The sequence below is a fragment of the Homo sapiens genome, chromosome 1, assembly GCF_000001405.40.
Source record: "Homo sapiens chromosome 1, GRCh38.p14 Primary Assembly".
NCBI classification, from domain to species: domain Eukaryota; kingdom Metazoa; phylum Chordata; class Mammalia; order Primates; family Hominidae; genus Homo; species Homo sapiens.
The window spans coordinates 3,615,063-3,624,856 of NC_000001.11; the positions used below are offsets into that span (position 1 = coordinate 3,615,063).

The 9,794-nt window shown below is 54.6% G+C and overlaps 1 protein-coding gene across 3 annotated transcripts in view, besides 3 other annotated features; it reads right to left on the reverse strand.

Moving 5' to 3' along the window:
* The window catches only part of MEGF6 (multiple EGF like domains 6), a 136,836-nt gene extending 127,112 nt beyond the window's left edge, over positions 1-9,724 (reverse strand). For all 3 annotated transcript variants that reach the window (XM_017000533.3, XM_011540886.3, XM_011540888.4), the window contains exons 1-2: positions 9,246-9,724; positions 8,282-8,494 (exon numbers count right to left, since the gene is read on the reverse strand). In XM_017000533.3, coding sequence (XP_016856022.1) covers positions 8,282-8,494; positions 9,246-9,349 — 317 coding nt within the window. In that variant the 5' untranslated portion in view covers positions 9,350-9,724. The remainder of the gene's footprint in view (positions 1-8,281; positions 8,495-9,245) is intronic.
* Positions 3,444-4,352: an enhancer, noted in NCBI's record as "H3K4me1 hESC enhancer chr1:3535070-3535978 (GRCh37/hg19 assembly coordinates)". NCBI's record gives its function as "activates a minimal SCP1, AML or CMV promoter by ChIP-STARR-seq in primed H9 embryonic stem cells {active_cell/tissue: H9 hESC(primed)}" and the evidence as "EXISTENCE:reporter gene assay evidence [ECO:0000049][PMID:30033119]".
* Positions 4,289-4,338: an enhancer, noted in NCBI's record as "active region_59". NCBI's record gives its function as "activates an Ori minimal core promoter by ATAC-STARR-seq in GM12878 lymphoblastoid cells {active_cell/tissue: GM12878}" and the evidence as "EXISTENCE:reporter gene assay evidence [ECO:0000049][PMID:35858748]".
* Positions 9,227-9,346: an enhancer, noted in NCBI's record as "active region_60". NCBI's record gives its function as "activates an Ori minimal core promoter by ATAC-STARR-seq in GM12878 lymphoblastoid cells {active_cell/tissue: GM12878}" and the evidence as "EXISTENCE:reporter gene assay evidence [ECO:0000049][PMID:35858748]".

Here is a 9,794-nt window from a genome sequence, read left to right on the forward strand (position 1 = left end):
CATCTTTCCCCTGAAAATTACACTGATAATTCCCATCCGTCATTCTTCCAAATGAATTTTGGAGTCACTTTGCCCAGTCCCTTCAAAGTTGCATTGGACTTCTCATTGCAATTGCCTTAAATGTATGCATGGAGAAAAAAGGACATTTTCAGAGTCGTCAAACTTTGGGAAGGGCAGGGACCGCAGCAGGGGGTGCACTTTCTGACCCCCCAAGGAGGCAAAGGAGAGAAAGGGCGGCTGCAGAGATTGTTGCAGGGCACTGCCCCCTGGTGCAGAGCGCAGGTATTAGAACCCGCTGGTCCCATGGCTGGACCCACTGGCCTCCCTCTGGTCCTCTTTCCAAGTGGGGGCTTCCCATGGCTTCAGAGACCTGTTGGGTTACAGCTGCAGCTCAGGCCTCAGCTCCCAGACCAAGTTCCATCCTAAACACCTTTCAGGAAATCATAGCCAAACATCCCAATTCCACTGTTAGGTATGCCAACTCCACTTAGGAAGTACAGACCCGGTGAGTCATCACATCCCTGCGTGTTCTTGGGAAGGCACCAGGTGGGAAGCAGGCCGAATGGAGGTCTATATTAGACCCCAAATGTAGATGCCCGCACCCGGGCCTGCAAGAGGGCCCTGAGCCACAGCACCTGGCATGGAAGCCCGCGTGTGGGACCCACCCACCTGGTCCCAGCCTCTCCACCCCCCACCCTATCCAGTGGGCTCAGCTCTCCTGCTTCTCCCCTCTTTATCCCACCTGGCCTCGACTGCTTCAGGCCTGGTGGGGCACCCAGGCCACCACTCCTGGGTTACACGCAGAACTGGGCTTGGCTCAGAGCCTCTCCCCAGTAGACATAAGGAGTGGACAGGCTTCCATTTCTTCCATTTTTAAATCTGGCAAACAATTCCTCTAGCTTGCCTGAAAAGCATTACTAAAAGACACTACCTTTCCATGTTTTTGTCTCATTCTCTGCTGGAAATAATAAAAACAGCCTTTGGATGGAGGAGAAATAACGTAGGGAGAAAGAAGAATCAAACTACCAGCTCAGTGGATAACTCAAGGTGCTAATTTCCAAAGCAAACTGCTCCCCATGTCCGGTCCGCGGGCTGGCGGTTGCACGCTCCTTCCCTGCAGCCTGACTTTAATCCTTCCAGAGCTGAGAGTCCCACAGAGAGATGCAAAACATCCCTGAAAGCTCCCCGAACGAACATTTCTGTCAATCCAAGAAAATAATCCAGCATCTTTTCTGAATTTTCACAGACATTTCTCCTGATAGGAGAGTGAGCAAAGTCATTGATGCTAAAGGTGTTTTCTGACCCTCAGATGCAAGGTGCCCGCAGCAGTCCTCACGTCAACACCAACGACTGCCCCGTACCGCCCCGGTCTGTTCCTCACATCAACACCAACGACCACCCCGGACCGCCCCAGTCTGTGCCAGCACCCCCAGTGTGAGATGACCACAAAATCCAGCAACACCCAGCACGTGCAGGTGATGGCCAGAGACGGGGGTGAGAGAGGGGGTGGGAGGCCGGGGGTGAGAGACGGGGTGGGAGTCTCTCCAGATAGCAAAGGATCGCACCAGAAACCCTGCACCAAATACGTAACTGAGTCTATGGCCAGCCTTTGGGTAGCCGACTCTGAATTCATTTCTAAGCCTCTGAATTTGCCCCAAAAGAGAAAGTAAAGTGAAAAGATCAATCTGTGGCATACCTAAGGTGGGCTGTGTGATGTGGCCCCAAGCGTGGCGGGGGAGAACGGGAATCCCGGAGCAGATGGCCCGGTCAGAACCCCAGTGTCCCAACTGCCGCCTGGCTGGGATGTCTTCCTTCCTGGTTCTGTGCCTGTGTCCTCCTGAATGACAATGGAGACAGCAGAGGGGCAACCTCCGGTTCCAGTTCCTGCTCAGCGTTTGAACCATGGTACCAGCAAGCACAGCTATTGTTCTGAGGACCAGACAGTGGCCAGACACACAGGCCTGGGCTGCGGCGTGCAGGCTTCCCCCTCTACACCCTGCTCCCGCCATCCCTCCCTCCAACCCTCCAACCCCGGACACACAGGCCTGGGCTGTGCCATGCAGGCCCCCACAACTGCCCGCCCTCCCACCCCCGGCTCCTGCCATCCCTCCCTCCAACCTCGGGGGCAGCATCAGGATGAAGCTAGGTCTGGAAATATGAAGGTGTTTCAGACCAGGTGCTGACACTCAGATGGAAAACTGTACCTACTCCCGCCACCATGCTAGCAGCTCAGGACACAGCCTACTGGGTTGAAGAGTGGCCTCCAAAGACGTTGGCCCACATCCTCCCCTGCCACCCGTGAATGTGACCTTATTTGAAAAAAGGGTGTCTGCCCCATGTTCTCACTTATGAGTGGGAGCTGAATGATGAGAACACATGGACACATGTGGGGAACAGCACTCGCTGGGGCCTGTGGAGGGGTGGTGGGGAGGGAGAGCATCAGGAAGAAGAGCTAATGGATGCTGGGCTGAATAACCAGGTGACGGCTGACCTGCACAGCAAACCACCACGGCACACATTTACCTGTGTCACAAACCTGCACATCCTGCACATGGACCCCTGAACTTAAAACAAAATTTGAAGAAAAAATAAATTAAACTGGGAAAGAAAAAAAGGTGTTTGCAGATATAATCAAGTAAAGGATCTCCGGATGAGAGCATCCTGGATTTTCCCGGCAGGCTGTAAATCCTCGGACAGGCGTCCTTGTAAGAGAAAGCAGAGGGAGATTTGAGACAGAGCCACAGGGAGAGCGCAGCGTGGAGACCGAGGCGATGTGTCCATGAGCCAAGGGGAACCGGGGGTTGCTGGAGCTGCCAGAAGCTGGGAGAGAGACAGGCTGGCCCGGTCCTCGGTCACTTGTTACAGCACTGCAGGAAACTCCTGAGTGAGGCACCCAAGGCCCTGTCCCTGGGGAGCCCCCGGCCCAGAGAGGAGCGGGGCCTCCACAGCGGGTGCTGCCCTGCCCTGCCCTGGGGCAGCGACACCCTGCAGGCCCCTGGCCCCAGCCACCTTAGCAGCACCTACACACAGGAATAGACAGAGGCTCCCCCATCACCCCGGCGCCATCCCCAGCAAGGCCAAGCCTGGGAGGCAGGGCGCCCTGCTGTCCAGCAGGCTTTGTGCAGTGCAGCCCTTGCATTTCTCAAGGTCAGAGCGGTGTGGGCCGCACCCTGCCTGCCACGCTGACCAGAACCAGAACCGACACACAGTCCCCAGCAACATTCTGTTTAAGACCTTCTGGCCCCCAAGTTAACCTGAAGTCTCCCAGCCTCCTCCTGGGTCCCACTCACCCAAAGGAAGCCCACCCCTCGAGACCAGGCCTTCCCACTGGATCCACGGCCGAGAGACCACCTGGGGACCCTGGGCCCCACACGGCGAGGGGCAGGTGGGAAGCAGCGCAAAACCATCCTCCTGCTGGGGTGCAGAGGTGGAGGAAATTACCATCAACGCGACTCAGCCTTTGAGAACTGCACGAGAATGACACCCCTGCTACTTCCCCGCAGCCTGCTCTTGATCCTCAAACCCATCCGAAAGGCCCCTTCCCCGCCGGCAGGGAGAGGCATTTATTTGTGGAAGTTGCTTCTGCTTCTGTCATGACTTGCCAAAGAGTAAGGGCTGTGTCTGCAAGACACCACCTGAGCGCTCACGACTGCCCCAAGCACTGCCAGCCCTCGTACACAGCCCTGGGACCCGCCAAGCCCCAGCCCTGGCTCCATGGAGAAGGGAGAGGCTGAGAAACATTCCTCAGCCCAAAGTGCATCCCCCAAAGCACAGCTGTCTCTGGAAGCCCAGGACCCTGCCTGAGGGAAGAGCCTCCAGGCTGCACACTGACCTCCAACCTGGGGGAGCTGGTGCCGGCACCTAGAGGACACAAACCCTTGGGCTGCCCTTTGGCACGTGGCCCCCTGACTCCCACATCCATCGGAGAACAAGGGCACAGGCAGGACCCACTGATTTTGTAAAATGCAAAACCATAACATGTGGAAATTAAGATAAAAACCCACACTTCCCAGCGGAGATTTCCAGTGGCAGGAAGATAAATAATGACTTCATGTAGGGCCTGAATACACACACCCAGCGTGAAGCTGCGCCCTCTAATTGGAAGACCTCGCATGGGTGATGCTGCCACCTGCTGACAGAAATGGAAATAGCTCCTTCAAAGCCCCAAGAAATACACAAACTCAGGGGCTCCCCTCCCGGGACCTCACAGCCACACCCCAATCACGAACCATCTTCCCTGCCCCACGACCAGTGTGTGTGGAGAGAGCAGCCATCCGGCTGGACGTTCCATCATGCACGTGTGACACATCATTACATGTGTCCCCCAGAAAGGCACAGTCCAGTCTTAACCCCAGTGCGTGTGATATGACTGGTATGGTTTGGCTGTATGCCCCCACCCAAATGTCATCTCCAATTGTAATCCCCCACGTGTCGAGAGAGGGGCCTGGTGGGAAGAGATTGCATCATGGGGGCAGATTTCTCCCTTGCTGTTCTCGTGATAGTCAGTTCTCAGGAGATCTGATGGTTTAAATGTGTGGCACTTCCCGCCCCCGTCACCCCTGCCGCCATGCTTCCCCTTCATCTTCCGCCATGACTGTAAGTTTCCTGAGGCCTCCCCAGCCGGGTGTAATGGTGAGTCAATTGAACCTCTTTCCTTTATAAATTACCCAGGCTCAGGTAGTTCTTTATAGGAGTGTGAACGTGGACTAATACAGAAAATTGGTAGCAGGATAGTGGGCACTGATATTAAGATACCTGAAAATGTGGAGGTGATTTTGGAACTGGGTAATGGGCAGAGGTTGGAACAGTTTGGAGGGCTCAGAAGACAGGAAGCTGTGGGAAAGTTTGGAACTTCCTAGAGACTTGTTGAATGGTTCTGACCGAAATGCTGATAGTGATACGGACAATGTCCAGGCTGATGTGGTCTCAGACGAAAATGAGGAACTTACTGGGAACTGGAGCAAAGCTATATTTTAGTAAAGAGACTAGGAGCATTTTGTCCCTGCCCTAGAGATCCGTGGAACTTTGAATTTGAGAGAGATGATTTAGGGTATCTGGCAGAAGAAATTTCTAAGCGGCAAAGCATTTGAGATGTGAGCTGGCTTTTTCTGAAAGTGTACAGTCATGTGCGTTCACAAGGAGATGATCTGAAATTGGAACTTATGTTTAAAAGCAAAGCAGGACATAAAAGTTTGGAAAATTTGCAGCCTGACTATGTGGTAGAAAACCCATTGTCTGGGGGAGAAATTCAAGCCATCAGCTGTAGAAATGTCTCCAAGACATTTCAGAGAGCTTCACGGCAGACCCTCCCATCACAGGCCCAGAGGCCTTGGGGGCAAAATCAGCTCCAGTCAGGGCCAAAAGGGGTCAAGGGACAGCCCAGGCGGAGCCCGTAGGTGTGCAGAAGACAAGAGGTGAACTTCGGGAGACTCTGCCTAGATTTCAGAGGATGTATGGAAACACCTAGAAGTCCAGGCTGAAGTCTGCTGCAGGGGCAGAGCCCTCATGGAGAACCTCTGCTAGGGCAATGCAGAGGGGAAATGTGGGGTGGGAGCCTCCACACACGGAGTCCCCACTGGGGCACTTGTAGGGACCAGCCCTACAGGGTCAGTGGGTCTTTCTCCCCATGTGCAGAGATGAGAGATCGTAGAAATAAAGACACAAGAGAAAGAGATAGAAGAAAAGACAGCTGGGCCCTGGGGGACCACTATTACCAAGGCGCGGAGACCGGTAGCAGCCCCGAATGCCTGGCTGCGCTGTTATTTATTGGGTACAAGACAAGGGGGCAGGGTAAGGAGTGTGACTCATCTCCAATGATAGGTAAGGTCACGTGGTTCACATGTCCACTGGACAGGGGGCCCTTCCCCGTTTGGCAGCTGAGGCGGAGAGAGAGAGGAGAGACAGCTTACGCCATTATTTCCGCATATCAGAGACTTCTGGTACTTCCACTAATTTTGCACCTGCTATCTAAAAGGCAGAGCCAGGTGTACAGGATGGAACATGAAAGCGGACCAGGAGCATGACCACTGAAGCACAGCATCACAGGGAGACAGGCCTCCAGATAACTGTGGGCAAGCCTGACTAATGTCAGGCCCTCCACAAGAGGTGGAGGAGTAGAGTCTTCTCTAAACTCCCCTGGGGAAAGGGAGACTCCTTTTCCTGGTCTGCTCAGTAGTGGGTGCTTTTCCCTTGGCACTGACGCTGCCACTAGACCACGGTCCGCTTGGTAACAGGCGTCTTCCCAGACGCTGGTGTTACCGCTAGACCAAGGAGCCCTCTGGTGGCCCTGTCCGGGCATAACAGAAGGCTCGCACTTGTCTTCTGGTCACTTCTCACCATGTCCCCTCAGCTCCCATCTCTGTACGGCCTGGTTTTTTCTAGGTTATGATTGTAGAGCGAGGATTATTATAATATTGGAATAAAGAGCAATTACTACAAATTAATGATTAATGATATTTACATATAATCATATCTATGATCTAGATCTAGTATAACTCTTGTTATTTTATATATCTTATTACACCGGAACAGCTCGTGCCCTCGGTCTCTTGCCTCAGCACCGGGGTGGCTTGCTGCCCACAGGCACTGACTAGTGGAGCTACGAGAAGGGGGACACTGTCCTCCAGACCCCAGAATGGTAGATCTACCAGCAGCTTGCACCCTGCACCTGGAAAAGCCGTAGGCACTCAGGGGCAGAGCTTCCCAAGGCCTTGGAAGCCCACCCCTTGCATCAGTGTGGCCCTGGATGTGAGACATGCAGTCAAAGGAGATTATTTTGGAGCTGTAAGATATAATGACTAACCCACTAGATTTTGGACTTGCATGGGGCTTTTAGCCCCTTTGTTTTGGCCAAATTCTCCCTTTTGGAATGGGACCATTTACCGAGTGCCAGTACCTCCATTATACCTTGGAAGTAACTAACTTGTTTTTGATTTTACAGGTTCATAGGCAGAAGGGACTTTGTCTCAGATGAGACTTTGGACTGTGGACTTTTGAGTTAATGCTGAAATAAGACTTTGGGGGACTGTTGGGAGGGCATGATTGGTTTTGAAATGTAAAAAGGACATGAGATTTAGGAGGGGCCGGGGTAGAATGATATGGTTTAGCTGTGTCCCCACCCAAATCTCATCTCGAATTGTAATCCCCACATGTCGAGGGAGGGACCTGGTGGGAGGTGATTGGAGCATGGGGGCGATTTCCCCCGTGCTGTTCTTGTCATAGTTCTCACAAGATCTGATGGTTTAAGTGTGGCACATCCCACTACCCCCGCCGCCATGTAAGACGTGCCTTGCTTCCCCTTTGCCTTCCGCCATGATTGTAAGTTTCCTAAGGTCTCCCCAGTCATGTGTAACTGTGAGTCAATGAAACCTCTTTTCTTTATAAATTACCCAGCTTCAGGTAAGTTCTTCATATTAATAGCAGTGGGAAAACAAACAAACACAGTGACCTTATTTGATCAAACATGATGATGATCGACTAAAGATGAGGTCACTAGGGTGGTCCCTAATCCAACAGGGATGTTGCAGAAGAGACCCACCTGGAGAAGGTCGTGTGAAGATGGAGGCAGGGATGGGAGCAGTGCATGAGCAAGCCCAGGACACCAAGCAGGCCTGGCAGAGCAAGACATGCGTCAACCCTCAGGGCTGCAGAGGGAGCATGGCCCTGCACACTCCTTGATTTTGCACTTCTGGCCTCCAGGGCTATGAGGAAACACGTTTCTGTTGTTTTTAAAACAGTTGTTGTTTTTAAAACCAGTTTGTGATGCATTGTGACAGAAGCCCCAGGAAACTCATCCATACTGAGTGAAATTTGTTTATTGTCTAAAATACAGTCCCTCCATCATCTATCCCTCCTATCATTTCTGGAATTTATAGACATCCAAGTCACTCCCCATATCCACAGAAGGCTCAGGCACCTGGTTCAGAATCCTCATTGTCCTGCCAGCTCCCACCAGCAGTCTGCAGCCTCGGCCCCAGCCAGTGTCACTTCATCCCATTCCCTGGACATCTGGTTCCAGGACCACAGCTCCATCCTTGGCGTGGTCCAGAACTTGCTCCTACCTCTCTCCCCCATTCTCCCTCTTTCTCCCCCCCATTCTCTCTCCCTCTCTTTCTCATTCTCCCTTCTCCTCCCTCTTTCTCCCTCCCTCTCTCTGGAATCTCTGGTTCCAGTTGCCCATCACTGACTACAGCTTGCAGCTGTCCAGGTATTTCTCATCTACATCCACTCAGCTCCCTCCCGGCCTCTGTTCTTCCTCCCTCAGGGGTATTCTCCCACTCACCAGCACCTGTTGGATCCGCGGCCATTTCTAACCGGACTGGATACTTGGACCTCAAGGTCCCCGCTGGTAAGATAGCTGGGAGACACTCGTCTGTAGGTCCCTCTGGCAGGTCTTGCTGGGCGTGCCAAGAACACATTGCCCTGACCACTCTTTTCTGGGCCATTTCTCACGCCTGTGCTTGCAGTGGGCACCCTTGCCGGGGAGACAGCCTCCCTGTGGGACAAAGACCACATTGGTCCACAGGATCCAGGGTCCTGTTTTGTAGTGCACCCGCTGTGGTGCAACATGCGTCTGGGCACACCAGCGTCGCCCGTTTCCTGTTGTAGTCTTTCCTCTCTGACTCCAGGGGTATTGGGTCTTTCTGCCAGCGCCCATGCAACTTTGGCAGCCTGGCCTGTCTGCTGGCAAGTGGGGCAGAATCCCTGCACTCCACCATTCTTGGGCAACACTCCCTCTAGGATTTTGGCCTCCCTTTTCTCTCTGGTCTTTGACCACCGCTACCCAGCAAACTCCTCCATCTAGACCAGCCAGCATTGGTTTCTTCCACTCCCCCAGCTGCCGCGTGGGAGGCGCCACTGCAAACTTCCCTGGGGTCTCCCAGCTGCTCAGAGATCCCCATGCCCTTCCCTGATCAGCTCCCTGCCCGGTTCTCATCCCGGCGATTCTAAACCGTCCATCTTTACAAATACTCCGCTCCATCCCCACTCCCTGACTGAAGTAAACAGATGTATCCTGAACTCCTCATTCTCCCCCCATCTCACTCTCCTCGCCTGTGTGCACCTCGCCTCGTGTGTCTTCCTCACCTCCGAGCAGAGGGATCTGTCCTCCTGCCCGAAGGTAACCCTGACCCCTGGACTCTGCGCCTCCTTCCCGCAGCCTCCACCAGATTGCGGGTCCGTTCACCGCCCCCCTCCACACGCGCTGGGGGCACCTCCGGGAGCTGGGGCTAGCGCAGGGCACACACATGTTCCACCTCGAACTGCGAGCGCTGACCGGGATCTCTGGGCAGCCCTCTCTGTGTGCACTGGCTTGCTGAAGGCTCGCGACAGCCTGGGCCCGGGCGCGCATTCCAGCACTTTCTACCCTCCGGCTTCAGAGTGCATTGCTCTGTGGATCCGTCACGAATAAGCCGTGTGTGAAGAACGCCAGGTCCCGGCAGAAGATCGCTGCCCGGCGTGCGAACTCCCCCACGGTGCACCAGGGCCGCCGCCCTGCATCCTCCAACCTCAGCTCCCCGGCACCGCGACCCTCCGTGCAGTGCGAGCCCCCGATGGGCGCGCGCCCCCACCTGCGCTCCAGAAGGCCGAAGGGGGCATCCCACTTGCAGGGCGGGTCACCCGCTTTCCCCGCGGGCCAAGGGGCTCCAAGATTCCCAGCCCCTCCTTCCCAGCCGCTCCGCGACACCCTGGCAACCGGCTTCGGCCCCGCCCCTTCTCGTTGTGTAAACAGGAAGTGAGCCTGCGCGTGACGGTCGCTTCCGGCCCGGCGAGGGGCGGGAGCGATTGTGAACGGC